This window comes from Homo sapiens, chromosome 7 (assembly GCF_000001405.40).
Source record: "Homo sapiens chromosome 7, GRCh38.p14 Primary Assembly".
Lineage (NCBI taxonomy): Eukaryota > Metazoa > Chordata > Mammalia > Primates > Hominidae > Homo > Homo sapiens.
In genome coordinates, this window is record NC_000007.14 from 151,444,732 (window position 1) to 151,459,247 (window position 14,516).

General features: G+C 51.6%; 7 annotated features.

Moving 5' to 3' along the window:
* Positions 3,542-4,041: an enhancer, noted in NCBI's record as "H3K4me1 hESC enhancer chr7:151145359-151145858 (GRCh37/hg19 assembly coordinates)". NCBI's record gives its function as "activates a minimal SCP1, AML or CMV promoter by ChIP-STARR-seq in naive H9 embryonic stem cells {active_cell/tissue: H9 hESC(naive)}" and the evidence as "EXISTENCE:reporter gene assay evidence [ECO:0000049][PMID:30033119]".
* Positions 3,542-4,226: a biological region, named in NCBI's record as "Sharpr-MPRA regulatory region 6092".
* Positions 3,654-4,133: a silencer, noted in NCBI's record as "silent region_18815". NCBI's record gives its function as "represses an Ori minimal core promoter by ATAC-STARR-seq in GM12878 lymphoblastoid cells {active_cell/tissue: GM12878}" and the evidence as "EXISTENCE:reporter gene assay evidence [ECO:0000049][PMID:35858748]".
* Positions 3,932-4,226: a silencer, noted in NCBI's record as "tiled region #6092; K562 Repressive DNase unmatched - State 4:PromP". NCBI's record gives its function as "represses a minimal TATA promoter and a strong SV40 promoter by Sharpr-MPRA in K562 cells {active_cell/tissue: K562}" and the evidence as "EXISTENCE:reporter gene assay evidence [ECO:0000049][PMID:27701403]".
* Positions 11,347-12,219: an enhancer, noted in NCBI's record as "OCT4-NANOG-H3K27ac-H3K4me1 hESC enhancer chr7:151153164-151154036 (GRCh37/hg19 assembly coordinates)". NCBI's record gives its function as "activates a minimal SCP1, AML or CMV promoter by ChIP-STARR-seq in naive and primed H9 embryonic stem cells {active_cell/tissue: H9 hESC(naive and primed)}" and the evidence as "EXISTENCE:reporter gene assay evidence [ECO:0000049][PMID:30033119]".
* Positions 12,220-13,092: an enhancer, noted in NCBI's record as "OCT4-NANOG-H3K27ac-H3K4me1 hESC enhancer chr7:151154037-151154909 (GRCh37/hg19 assembly coordinates)". NCBI's record gives its function as "activates a minimal SCP1, AML or CMV promoter by ChIP-STARR-seq in naive and primed H9 embryonic stem cells {active_cell/tissue: H9 hESC(naive and primed)}" and the evidence as "EXISTENCE:reporter gene assay evidence [ECO:0000049][PMID:30033119]".
* Positions 13,817-14,485: an enhancer, noted in NCBI's record as "H3K4me1 hESC enhancer chr7:151155634-151156302 (GRCh37/hg19 assembly coordinates)". NCBI's record gives its function as "activates a minimal SCP1, AML or CMV promoter by ChIP-STARR-seq in naive H9 embryonic stem cells {active_cell/tissue: H9 hESC(naive)}" and the evidence as "EXISTENCE:reporter gene assay evidence [ECO:0000049][PMID:30033119]".

Below are 14,516 nucleotides of genomic sequence, written 5' to 3' on the forward strand. Positions count from 1 at the left end.
CCAGGTAGAACCCCTCCCCAAAATAGCTACATAATATGCAAATGCCAGTATCACCAAACCTCAACATCAGAGTCATTTTTTTGAGTCATCTTTGGTAGAGCACTGTTAAAATGTACCTTGAGGTAGGTGAGATCTTGAGTCACTATACAGCTGCTAGTTGGGGACAAAATTCTAAGGAAATGGACTGAGAATAAATATCGTGACAGCACAGAAGAAGCAAGGCTAAGAATGCTATCATGGCTTAAAAAATAAAATCTCAATAACATGTAGCCTTAGAACTACCAGTAGCTGCTCAGCATTGGAGAGTTTTACAGCGTGGAGGCTAATGGTTTTAATAATAAATCACCCTGAGCCATCACCCGTTTGCCTGCCTCCCTTCTCTGCCTCTTGTCTCTCCCGTTTTTGGGTAATTTAGAGCACAGAGAAGAATAGGAAATAATATAAGGAACAATAACACCACCATACAAAGTTTGTCAAATCTTAGCATTTTGCCAGGTTTATGTCGGATCAATGTTTTTCCTTAAAATAAGAAATCATTATACATAGAATTGAAGGCTTCCTTCCCCATAAGGATAAGATACTGTCCTGATTTTTGTGTTATGTCTTTGTGTGTTTTCATCTTTTTACTTTCTTTGTATGTATCTGTAAATAATAGAAAATTTTTAGTGTGGCTACATTATATGTAGCCTTCTGCAATTTGGTTTTTTGTTTTAGTGACAAGAGTTTCTGAAATGGTGAATGAACAAAGCTCAGTAGAATTCCTCAGAAAACTAAGTAAAATCTTCCATTTATATATCTAATAAATTGCATACCAGGAAATCTTCAGTATATATTAAAGCCACACAAAAAATACTATGCGTTTCTAGGGGAAATTGTGGGACAGTGTCTCCTTGGATGTGGTGGGATATCCAGCATCCTGGGGCCTGCCCACCCATCCTCCAGCATTCTGACAAACAGAAACACCCTACAAAATTCCAACCACACCCTGGGACCAATACTGCCTCCTTTGAGGCCCATGCCTCTGGGTGAAATTGCTGGGTTGAAGCATGAGTTCACCTTCAAGCCACTAGATGCCACAGAGGTCTTCCAAATTGCCCCACTGACATACAGATGAGATCTACCCTTGGTAGTTCCAAGGCCAGTTGCTCAACATCAGTTCAAATGTATAGCGTTCATTTGAATTGGATCTTTTGTAAATTGCTTGTTCATATGCTTTGCTCATTTTTTTCTGTCTTTCCTTATTGATTATGTGTGTGTGCCTGTGTGTGTGCAAGTGTTTCTTTGTTTTAGAGACAGAGTTTCACTCTGTCACCCAGGCCAGAGTGCAGTGCCACGATCATAGCTCAATGCAGCCCCAAACAACTGGGCTAAGGCATCCTCCTGCTTCAGCCTCCCTTGTAGCTGGGACTAAAGGCACACGCCCACACCCAGCTAGGTTTTTAAAATTTTTTGTAGAGACGGGGTCTCACTATGTTGCCCATGCTGGTCCCGAGTTCCTGGCCTCAAGGGATCCTCCTGCCTTGGCCTCCTAAAGTGCTGGGATTACAGGCATGAGGCACCATGCCTGGCTGTGTGTGTTTTAACTTGCTATCTATTCTTTTGCTGTGTGTGTGTGTGTGAGTCCGCTATCTGTTCCTTTGCTGTTGTCTATTCCTTGTTGTGTGGGTTCATTTTAGACTTTTCCCAGTTTGTTGCTACTCCCAAACCTGCCCTAATTCAATACAAAGTCATGTGAGTGGGCAATGAGGCCCTTCCAGCCCTTCACTCTGGAGCTCTGGGTGTGTGTGACAGGCTGAGGGGAGGCACTTTCCCAGTAGCCCCCTGCCTCCAGCGTCATCCTAATGCTCTTGGGAGCAGAGTGGTCCTGGGGCTTGGGAGAGGCCATCCTGGGTAGCGTTTGAGAGACAGGACTCAGGACTCCCCTCCAAATTGAGGCTGTATGTGACACCACTGTGTGAGACCCCCAGGTTCTGCCCCCTTCCCCACTTCCTTCTCCATGCCCACTCCCAGCTCCAGCCACTGTCAGTACCAGTGGAACTGCTGCAGGAGCCTCTCAGCATCCCAGTCTGTCTGCTCTGGGCTCCTCCAGACCGTTCTCCACCCACAGCAAGAGCGGCTCCTTTCCCTATATATATATTATGAGTCATTTCAGGCAGCAAATCTACCTTCCAGTTTAAGAAATAAGACATTACAGGCCAGGCAAGGTGGTTCATGCCTGTAATCCCAGTGCTTTGGGAGGCCAAGGAGGAAAGATTGCTTGAGCCCAGGAGTTTGAAATCAGCCTGGGCAACAACGCAAGATCCTGTCTCTACAAAAAAATTAAAAAATTAGCCGGGCATGGTGGCACATGCCTGTGGTCCCAGCTACTAGGGAGGCTGAGGTGGGATGATTGCTTGAGCCCAGGAGGTCGAGGCCGCAGTGAGCCAAGATTGCACCACTGCAGTACAGCCTGGGCAACAGAGAAAGATCCTGTCTCAAAAAAAAAAAAAAAAAAAAAAAAAAAAAAAAGACAAGACATTACAAATGGGGGGCTCCTAGGTGCTCTAATGTGAATACTCACTTAAAACCTATAATGTGATCCTACCTAAAATTGCTCAATGGCTTCCCATGGCCCTTCAAGTGAAGCAGGGACCAGGACACGCAGGACCCTGAGATCAGGCCTCCTGAGATGTTGCACCCATCCTGGGGTGCGGTCCCAACACCTGAGCTGAGCTTCCCAGGGCTCAAGGACCTGGTCTCGCTGCCCGCGCCTCCCCCCAGCCCCACTCCCCAACCTCTCTCGCCAGCGGGTACCATCGCATCTGTGTGGGCGAGGCGCTCAGCGCTAGAGCTGTGGACACCAAGGAGGAGGCGCTCAAAAGATGTTTACAAACGGGCTGGGCGCGCTGGCTCACACCTGTAATCCTAGCACTTTGGGAGGCCGAGGCAGGAGGATTGCTTGAGCCCAGGAGTTCGAGACCAGCTTGGGAAACACGGTAAGACCTTGTCTCTACTTAAATTATATATATATATATATACACACACACATACATATACATGAGAGAGAGAGAGACCGGGTGAGGTGGCTCACGCCTGTAATCCCAGCACTTTGAGAGGCCGAGGCGGGCGGATCACCTGAGGTCAGGAGTTTGAAACCAGCCTGGCCAACATGATGAAACCCCGTCTCTACTAAAAATACAAAAATTAGCTGGGCGTGGGGGCAGTCACCTGTAGTGGCAGCTACTCGGAAGGCTGAGGCAGGAGAATCGCTTGAACCCGGGAGGCAGAGGTTGCAGTGAGCTGCGGAGGTTGCAGATCGCGCCACTGCACTCCAGCCTGGGCGACGACAAAGCGAGACTCCGTCTCAATATATATATTTATTAAAGATATTTATAAACGAACAAAAAGTTGGAAACACTTTGCATACCAAAGCTCAGGCGTGGGCGAGAGCGGGGAGACTAGACTCCGTCCGCGGTCCAGGGCTGCATGGGGCAGCGATGCCCGCTCTGCCCAACGCTCCGCTAGCGAAGCGCAGTTCGTGGTCGCCAGGCCTGCAGCTCCCGCCTGGGCTCCGCGCTTCCGCACCGGGCTGCGGGTTCCTCTCTCCGCCTCCTGCGCCGGGTCAGCCCCGGAGGACACTGATGAGTGCGTGAATGAGTAAGGGAATAAATGCGCGAAGGCCAGCACCGCCAGGCTGCAGCGCCGGCCGAGGGCCCCAGCGGAGCTCGGCGGGGGTGCGGGGCGGTTCCAGGAGCCTCGCCCCCTGCTGGGGACCCAGCTTGTGCCCTGGCGTCGTGGCCGCCGGCAGGCAGCAAGGAAGGGGGTGTAAAGAGCCCGGTTAGGCTGAGTCCCTGCCCTTCCGAGGGAGCCCGTCTGCGAGTGAGCCCGTCTGCAAGTGAGCCCGTCTGCAAGTGAGCTGGGCCTGGGCCTCTGCAGGGGTCGCCCCGCCAGCCCGGGCCCCCTGGCTGCGCCCCGTTTCCAGCCGGCGTCAGGGAGGGGGCTGCAGTGCTCCGGGGGTCATCGGATTCGGGCGGGGAAGGAAAGGCGGGACGTCTGCGCCCCAGAAGACAGTCCCCGGGTCTCCCACCCTGAAAGCCAGCGAGGTTCGGGTAAATGAAAGTTGCTGAAGCCTGACCCCTCGTGGTGGGCACAATCACCACACGCCCCAGGGCGGCCGCGGGAGGATTTAGAATTAGAATTATTATTGCCGTTATATTTGTTTAGAGATGGGCTCTCCCTATGTTGCCCAGGCTGGTCTTGAATTTCTGGACTGAAGCGATCCTCCTGCCTCAGCCTCCCGAGTAGTCGGGACTACAGGCGGGTGCCACCACATCTGCTTAGAATTATAATAAATTCGAATTCTCATAGTGCTTACTTATAGCCAGCACCAACTAAAGCTTAACATATATTAAGTCATTTAATTCTCTCAACAATCCTAGGAGGTGGGTTCTGTCATGATCCCCATCTTAGAGTTGTGGGGAGTGAGGCCCAGCCTGCATGAGTAGCTTGCACAAGGTCACAGGGTCACACAGCAAGCAGGCAGTGAAGCTGGGATTCGAATCCAGAATTGGTGCCCTTAACCTCTACAGAGAATTATAACGCACACGTTTCCTCACCTTTGTGCAGTTCTAAAAGCACACCAGCTTTATCTATTCATATTCTTACTTTATTTTATTTTATTTGAAACAGAGTCTCACTCTGTTGCCCAGGCTGGAGTGCAGTGGCGCGATTTCAGCTCACTGCCTCCTGGGTTCAAGCAATTCTCCTGCCTCAGGCTCCCGAGTAGCTAGGACTACAGGTGTGAGCCACCACACCCGGCTAATTTTTGTGTTATTAGTAGGGACGGGGTTTCACCATGTTGCCCAGGCTGGTCTCGAACACCTGACATCGTGATTCGCCCCCCCTCAGCCTCCCAAAGTGCTGGGATTACAGGTGTGAGCCACCGTGCCTGGCCTCATGTTCTTATTTTAGATCTCACTTCACTTCCTTCTTCCTCACCTAAGTCATCAACACATCCTGATCGAATGACTCAAAGGCTGAAAATATGCTCATCCTTTAAAAGCTACCCATCAAAGTGCAAATTAAAAGCACAATGAGACATCACAAGTGTCGCTGAGGGTGCTGAGCAAGTGGGACTCTCACTCACTGCTGGGGGGTGTGTGAAATGGTACAGTTACTTTAGTTTTTTATAAAGTCAAGATACGCTTACCATGTTAACTGACAATTCCACTCTTGGTGTTTACCTAACAGAAGTAAAAACATAGACCCCCAGCTTTGCACATGTTATAGCAGCTTTATTCATCACAACCCCAGCCTGGACGCAGTCCAGGCATCCACCAATGGTCGAATGATAACTACATCGTAGTTCATCCATACAACTGAATGCCACTCAGCAGTAAAAAGGAACAAACCCTCGATACACGCAATGGCATGAATAAATCCCAGAAACATCCGCTGAGCCTAGGAAGCCAGACGCAGAAGCCTGCACGCTGGGTGGCTCTGTGTGTATGAGACTCTGGACAAGATACAGGGCTCTTTGGTGCCAGACAGCACACCAGCGGCCTCCTGGTCCAAAGCTGGTGGTGGCAGAGATGGTGATTTTCAGACACAGCACAAGGGAATTTTTTGGGGTGATAGAAAGTTCTATATTTTGATTGTGGTGGTAGGCACACAGGTGGATACGTTTGTCAAAACTCATCAAAGTTTACACTTAAAATGATTGAATACAGTAATCTCAGAACTTTGGGAGGCTGAGGCAGGCAGATCACCTGAGGTCAGGAGTTCGAGACCAGCCTGGCCAACATGGGGAAACCCTGTCTCTACCAAAAAGTATAAAAAATTAGTCGGGTGTGGTGGCGTGCGCTTGTAATCCCAGCTACTTGGGAGACTGAGGCAGAAGAATCGCTTGAACCCGGGAGGCAGAGGTTGCAGTGAGCCAAGATTGTGCCACTGCACTCTAGCCTGGGCGACAGAGTGAGACTCCGTCAAAAAAAAAAGTGAACACATTTATAGCACAATCTGACAAGACTTTAAGACAAGAATTTGGGGTGTTCAGAGAGATAAGCAAAGCGGTCATCTAAAAAGGACAAGAAAGCCAGGCGCAGGGACTCACAGCTGAAATCCCAGAGATAGACTCCATCTAAAAAAAAAAAAAAAGAAAGTATAGTTCTCCGATATTTCTTTTACTCTTGAAGCAAAGAAGAGCTCTCTCCCGCCAAGTTGATATTACAATCCATAGTTTTAATTTTCCTTTTTGCAAGAACACATTTGAAAGACTGTAACTAGTTAATAAACTTACCAATACATCTTATCACTAACTGCACTATTGTCTCTGAGATCCTGTACCCTCCACCTGGGTTTCTCTCCTCTTCATGTTGAAGTATGTCTTTCAGTTACTCATTTAGTAGTAGCCTCTGTGTGGTAAACACTCTCAGTCTTTGCTTGTTTGAAATGATTGTAAAGTCTCTTCTGCCACAGTCACAGGTTCCAGGGATTAAGACGTGGACATCTTTGGGGGTCACTATTCTGCTGACCACAGGGAGCAGGAGTGAAGCTTCTGAGCCAGGGGCCCCAAGCCAGGGCTCTTCTCAGCACCAGCTGGGCCTCAGCAGGGAGACAGCCAGTGCTCTCCACCACCAGCCCTCAACTCGCCTCTGCTTCTGCTCCCTTCCTGAGGCTCTGGAAGGTTCCTGGCCACCAGATGAAAGGATGGGCAAAGTGGGGGCTGCACAACAGAGCCAACATGGTGAAACCCCATCTCTACGAAAAATACAAAAGTCAGCTGGGTGTGGTAGCGGGCGCCTGTAATCCCAGCTACTCAGGAGGCTGAGGCAGGAGGATCACTCGAACCCAGGAAGTAGAAGTTGCAGTGAGCAGAGATCATGCCACTGCACTCCAGCCTGAGTGCCATCCCGGGCAGTAAGCCTGTCCCCGCTCTGGTTAGTTGGGAAAGATGTATGTCACCAAGGGGAGGGAGGCCCTGGCCTCACAGGGTAGGAAGGGCCTGCCTGATCCAGCCCAGGGAGGGGGGCTCTGTGCTGCGTCCCCTGCCTCTGTCCCCGTGTGGTCCCAGTGCCGCTGTCCCCCTGGAGCAGGGCTGTCCATCATCCTGAGGTGCCACAAGTCCCTGCTGTGAGGCAGGGGCACCACCCGAAGTCACACTGTCCCCACCAGGGCTCCTGGCCCTGTGTCTCCGTGGCCTGATCTGGGAAAGGTGCACGTGAAATCCCTCCACACAGACCCACCATGAGGGTCAACAGCAAAGTGGGTGTGGGGGCCATGGCATCGCGTTTTGATCTTTTGGTGTTTAATGAATTCTCACTGTTTAATTAGTCTCCACTTTGAAGCTCACAACAAGCCCACCATCTTGGCAGGGTTCTGTGCGGTTAACCCATTTCACAGATGAGCAAGCTCCTCCCAGAGGAGCAGAGGGACTGGTCACCAGGTGAGCGTGGGGTGCTCCTGAGAGCCCACAGCTCAGGCGGCCCGGCACCGGCAGACAGGACAGCTGGCCGCAGTGGCAGGGAACCCCGGAGTCGCCCTGGGCACCCTCAGGCTGGGCTCCTGGGAGGGCTGGAGTGGACTCAGGAGCAGCCAGTGGCCCTGGGAGACAGGGAGCGGGAGGGTGGGAGGAGCAGCTTTGTGCCTGCCAGGGCCTGAGGGAACAACTGCACGACTTTGCCTCTCTTTGCTTTTCCTGATGATGGGGGCAGCCTGGCAGCTGCTGTGTGTCTTCTGCTCTTTGTCACCTCCCGTCGCCCGCTAGGTGTGGGAAGTCATGCAGTCACCTGGGTTTGATTCTTTGCTCCCACTTGTCCCTTCCCCAGGCAGGAGGTCAGCGCCTGTGGCTCCTCTCTGGGTGGTGGATGCAGGTTCTGCTAGCTTCATAAAAGATGACAGGGACTGTCACTTTCTACTCTCTGGGAAGAGTTTGTTCCTTAAAAATTCTGGACGGTCCCAGCCTGATGCCATTCTAGGGTTAGATTTTTGACTTCCAGGTTCCATTTCTGTAACAGGTCTAGTTCTAGCCAGGTGTTCTATTTTTTTCCTGAGTCAATATCGGTAATTTATGCTCTTCTAGTCTACTGATTATTCCATCTAAAATGTCAAACGCATTGGCATAAAGACATCCACGGGGTAAACTGGAACCGTGCGAGCCTGCTTCATCTGCAGCGACGCCCTCTCGCCGTGCTTTCTCATCTGCATCATGAACACACCCCACTCATTGGGGGTGTGTGGAGGGTTGGAGAATGCCCCAAAGGGGCCCAGCTTAGCTCAGGGCCCCCACCTGATGGCACCACCAGCCTTGGCTAGTCCCAGCAACCAGGGAGAGACTTAGACATTTTTGAATATTAAGGAAGGCATTCCAAGGTTCTGGGGGGTGAGGGTGGGAGTGCTGGTCCCTGAGGCGCAGGCTTCTTTCCTGGGCGTAAGGCAGGACTGACTCCAAGAGCAGGGACTGTGCACAGCCAGGCCCTAGGGTACTGACCAAGCAGGGAGCTCCAGGGGCTGCGGCAGCTGGGGTCCACGGTGACCCCCTCAGTGCCCCACTGCAGACGCTACAGTCCCCTCAGCTGTGGTCCCAGGCTGCAGCAGCGTGTGTCCTCATGCTCAGTCTTCCAACCTCAGGACTCTGGTGCACACAGCCTCGCTTGCTTCTCACGTTACAGCCCTCCGGGCTAGAGCCTCATTCCTTCAGGATCTCTGGGTCCATGGCTCTGAACAAGGGAGCCCCGGACAGTTCACTTGGGGCCAAGTGGGGTCCCTGCCCAGCTCACTCCTGGTCTGATTGCCTGCAGCGGGGGGCAGGCCACACAGCACGTGGTCCCACACCAGCCAGGGGCGGGGTGGCAAAGCACAACATGGGAGCCTGCCTCCTGACCTAGGCCACTGCGCCTTTGCATCACCATTTGGTCCCGGTGGAGTCCGAGTGGCTCAGGACGAGTCTGAACACTGGGCCAGTGGCAGAGCAAAGGCAGGAGGAGGAGAGAGGAGAGGAGCTCCTATCAGCAGGGATGTGGCTTTCACCGCAGCACCACATGCAGGATGAGATGAGACGTTTGTGGGGTTCACATCAAGAGAGGGTTTTTATTTTTTATTATTTTAACTTTTTTTGAGACAGGGTCTCGCTTTGTCACCCAGGCTGGAGTGCAGTGGTGCTATCATAGCTCACTGCAGCCTTAAACTCCTGGGCTCAAGTGATCCTCCTGCCTCAGCCTCCCAAGTAACTAGGACCACAGGCACATGCTACCATGCCTGGCTAATTTTTACACGTTTTTGTAGAGCCTGAGTCTTGTTATGTTTTCCAGGTTGATCTCTAACTCTCGGCATCAAGCAATCCTCTGCCTCGGCCTCTCAAAGTTTTTGCTTTTGTTTTTTTATTTATGTATTTTTTCAAGACTGAGTCTCACTCTGTTGCCCAGGCTGGAGCACAGTGGTGCTGTCTCAGCTCACTGCAACCTCTGCCTCGCGGGTTCAAGCAGTTCTCCTGCCTCAGCCTCCCGAGTAGCTGGGATTACAGGCATGAGCCACCATGTCCGGCTAATTTTTTGTATTTTTAGTAGAGATGGGGTTTCACCATTTTGGCCAGGCTGGTCTCGAACTCCTGACCTCAAGTGATCCGCCCTCCTCAGGCTCCCAAAGTGCTGGGATTACACGTGTGAGCCACCGTGCCCAGCCTTGTTTTTGTTTTTTAATTAAAACCGGCCTGCGGCAGGAGCTCCACGCGTGGAATGTGGAAGACAGCGGCTTTCCCAGGCCTTCCTCCTCGTCTCGGTTCACTTGCACTGCTGTAACAAAATTCCTGAGACTGGGTAATTTAGAAGGAGAAGAAACTCATGTTCTCACAGTTCTGGAGTCTGGGAAGTCCAGGTTATGGTGCTCGCAGGGGCAGGGGCTGGTGAGGGCCTGTTTCTCACCAATGGCACAGTCTGTCTTCACGCGGCATAAGAGAGTGGACCCACTACCTCAAGCCCTTTGATAAGGGCCCAGAGCCCATCCGTGAGGCTTCACCCTCAGACTTCCTCCCCCTTGGAAAGGCCTCTCCTCTTCCTAGTATCACACTGGTGATTAAGTTTCAATATCTAAATTTTAGGGGGTATGTTCAGACCACAGCACTCCTCAAATCCAAGCAGGATGTAGCAGAAGACAGAGGAGAAAGACTGGACAGAGCGTCTGTGTCCTGAGCCCGCAGGGGAGCTGCGGGCACCCTCAGGAAGTCCCACAAGGAGCTGTGGGCCAGCCACCATCAGGTGACAGGTGGCAGGAAAGGGGGCTCTAGCCCTGGAGCCCAAGGGCCTGCATGTGAGGAAGACGCTGTCCAATTGCCCCTCAAAACCAGGATCTGTGGAAACAGAAAAAAACATGACAGCAAGGCCTCACATCCCACAAGGACTCTAGTTCCAGGGGTTATGGAGCCTGCATGCCCGGCTTGGGGTTCCAAGGACCTGGCTGTCATTGCGCTGCTGGGTGATGTCAGACACGTGCTGTGCGCTGTCTCTTGCCACCTTCCCTGCAAAGCCATGAAGAAGCGGCGGGCAGAGCGGGCACCCCGCAGTGCCAGGCCCCTCCCCTTTCCTGGGAGCCTGCACTTTCAGGTCTCCCTTCACCGTGAACCGCGAGGCCCCTGGGAGGGCTAAGCGTTTCTGAAAGCAGGTGCTGCATCTTCACGAGGGGCTCAAGTGTGGCCCCCAGTCTAGCAGCACCAAGGTCACCTTGAACTCATCAGAAGTGCCAAGTCTAGGGCTCTACCCCAGAACTGCTGAATCTCAATCGACACTAAGCAACACCTTCCCCCAGGTGGCCATCTCAGGGCTGCTGACATGTGCATACATGCGTATATACATGGATCCACGCATGTGTGTGAATCAACTGGGACCCTGGACAGCTGTTAGAAAACGTGGGTTCTCGTCTTGGTTATAACATGGATTTTCTGGCTGAGTTCGTCCGTTGGCAGTGCTGTAAAGGAATACCTGAGACCGGGTCATTTATAAAGAAAAGAGCTTTATTTGCTTCATGGTTTATTTGGTTCAGGCTGTACAAGAAGCATAGCATTGGCATCTGCCTCTGGTGAGGGCCTCAGGAAGCTCCCAATCATGGTGCAAGATGAAGGGCAGTCAGTGTACCCCACGGCAAGTGGGAGCAAGACAGACGGGGAGGTCCCTGACTCATTTTAACAACCGGATCACGTGTGAACTCAGAATGAGAACTCACTCATTACTGTGAGGAAGGCACCAAACCACTCATGAGGGATCCACCCCCATGACCAAAACACCTTCCACCAGGCCCCACCTCCAACACTGGGGATCACATTTCAGCATGAGATTTGGAGAGGACACACATTCAAACCATATCATTCCACCCCTGACCCCCCAAATCTCATGTTTTTCGCACATTGCAAAATACAACCATCCCTTCTCCCTGGTCCTCTGAAGTCGTGACTTTTTCTAGCATTAACTTAAAAGTCCCAAGTCCAAAGTCGCATCAGAGACTCAAAGCAAATTCCTTCCATCTATAAGCCTGTAAAATAAAAAACAATTTACTTCCCAGATACAATGGTGGTACAGGCATTGAGTAATGATTCCCTTTCCAAAAGGGAGAAACTGGCCAAAAGAAATGGGGGACAGGCCCTGCGCAGTCCGAAACCTAGCAGGATAGACATGAAACCTCAACGCTCCAACATCATCTCCCTGACTGCATGTCCTGCATCCTGGGCACACTGGTGTGAGGGGTGGGCTCCCACGGCCCTGAGCAGCTCTGCCCCTGAGACTTTGCAGGTTGCATCCCCCATGGCTGCTCTCCAGGTTGGACTTGAGTGCCTGTAACTCCTCTAGGCAAGCTGCTGGTGGCTCTACCATCCTAGGGTCTGGAGGGTGGTGGCCTCATTTCCACAGGTCCACTAGGCAGTACCCCAGTGGGGACTCTACGTGGAGGGTCCATCTTACATTTCTGCTCAGCATTGCCCTAGTAATCTCTCTGCAGGGACTCTGGGTGGAAATATAGGTGGAAGCTGCCAAGCCTCCTTCACTTTTGCACTCTGTGCACCTGCAGTCTTAATACCACAAGGAAACCGCCAAGGCTTACAACTTGTGCCCTCCGAAGTGGTGGCCTGAGCTGTACCTGGGGCCCTTTGAGCCAAAGCTGGAGCTGGGGTGCCAGGGATGTGGGGAACACTGTTCTGAGGCTGAGCAGGGTAGCAGAGGCCCTGGGCCTGGCCCACAAAACCTTTCTTTCCTTCTAGGCCTCTGGGACTGTGATGGGAGGGGCTATCCTGAAGACTTCTGAAACGGCTTTGAGGCCCTTTCCCATTGTCTTGGCCATTAGCGCTTGGCTCCCTTTTAGTCATGCAAATCTCTAGGAAGTGGCTGCTTCAGCTCCCTTCAGTTCCTCTCCTGAAAACGCTTTTCCTTCCCTACCACAAGGTTAGGCTGCAAATTTTCCAAATTTTTACACTCTGCTTCCCTTTTAAATGTAAGTGTTAATTTTAAGTCATTTCCTTTTTCCTGTATCTGAACGTAGGCTGGTAGATGCAACCACACCACATCTTGAATGCTTTGCTGCTTAGAAATTTCTTCCACCAGATACCCTAGGTCATCACTCTTAAGTTCAAACTTCCACAGATTCCCAGGACTTGGACACAATGCAGCCCAGCTCTTTGCTGAGGTGTAAAGGGTGATCTTGGCCCCAGTTCCCAATAAGTTCCTCATTTCCACCTGAGACCTCATCATCCTGGACTTCACTGTCTATATTTCTATCAGCATTTTGGTCACAACCAGTTAACAAGTTTCTAAGAAGTTCCAAACTTTCCCCTTGTCTTCCTGTCTTCTTCTGAGCATCTTCAAACTCTTCTACCTCTTCCCATTACTTAGCTCCAAAGCCACTTCCACACCTTCAGGTATCTATCTTTATAGCAACACCCTACTCCTCAGTACCAATTTTGTGTATTAGTCAATTTGCGTTGCTGTAAAGGAATACCTGAGCCTGGGTAATTTACAAAGAAAAGAGGTTTATTTGGCTCACAGTTCGGAAGGCTGTACACGAAGCATAGTGTTGGCATTTGCTTCTGGTGAGGGCTTCAGGAAGCTTCCAATCATGGCAGAAGGTGAAGGGGAGCCAGCATATGTGGCGAGAGGGAGCAAGAGAGGTGGAATTGGGAGGGGAACCCCGACTCTTTTTAATAACCAGGTCTTGCATGAACTCAGAGCGAGAACTCACTCATTAACATGAGAACAGCATCAAACCATTCACAAGGAATCCACCTCCATGACCCAAACACTTCCTACCAGGCCCCACCTCTAACCTTGGGGATCACATTTCAGCATGTGATTCGGAGGGAACACACATCCAAACTATATCACTGGCGACTCTTGGCAGATCACAACTTTGAGCATCACTTTTCTCCTTTGTAGACATGAAAGTTCTGGCTAGCTGTCATTTGGGCTCCTTATCCTTTCTTGCCCCAGTTTGCCAGGGGCTCTCTTGGTCTTAAAATTGCAAGCCACAGCTGGGCGTGGTGGCTCACGCCTGTAATCCCAGCACCTTGGGAAGCCAAAGTCGGGGGATCACCTGAGGTCAGGAGTTCAAGACCAGCCTGGCCAACATGGTGAAACCCCGTCTCTACTAAAAATACAAAAAAATTAGCTGGGCGTGGTGGTGGGCACCTGTAATCCCAGCTACTCAGGAGGCTGAGGCAGGAGAATCGCTTGAACCCAGGAGGCAGAGGTTGCAGTGAGCTGAGATTACGCCATTGCACTCCAGCCCAGGCGACAAGAGCGAAACTCTGTCTCTCTCACACACACACAAAAACAAGAAACAACTGCAAGCCACACATTGAAGGAGCCCTCTGTTTTTGTTTGCCTCCTGGGGCTGCCATAACAAAGTAACCCAGACTGGGTGGCTTACAACAATAGCAACGTATTCTCTTGTTCTGGGGGCCGGAAGTCTGAAACCAAGGTGTTGGGGGGTTGGTTTCTTCTTGGAGGCTCAGAGGGGAATCTGCTCCAGGCCTCTCCTGGCTCCTGGAAGTGCTGGCAGTCCTTGGTATACCAGTCTCTGCCTCTCTGTGTCTACATTTTTTTTTCCTTTTTTTTTTTTGAGACAGAGTCTCACTCTGTTGCCTGGGCTGGAGTGCAGTGGTGCCATCTCGGCTCACTGCAAGCTCCACCTCCCGGGTTCACACCATTCTCCTGCCTCAGCCTCCCGAGTAGCTGGGACTACAGGCACCCGCCACCACGCCCGGCTAATTTTTTTGTATTTTTAGTAGAGACGGGGTTTCACCGTGTTAGCAAGGATGGTCTCGATCTCCTGACCTCATGATCCGCCCGCCTCGGCCTCCCAAAGTGCTGGGATTACAGGCGTGAGCCACCGTGCCCGGCCCCAAATTTATTTTTCTTATAAGGCAGGGATCCCAACCCCCAGGCCATGGACTGGTCTGGTCTGTGGCTTGTTAGGAACTGGGCCATACAGCAGGAGGTGAGCAGGGGGCGAGCAAGCATTACCAGCTGAGCTCTGCCTCCTGTCAGAGCAGCGGTGGCTTCAGA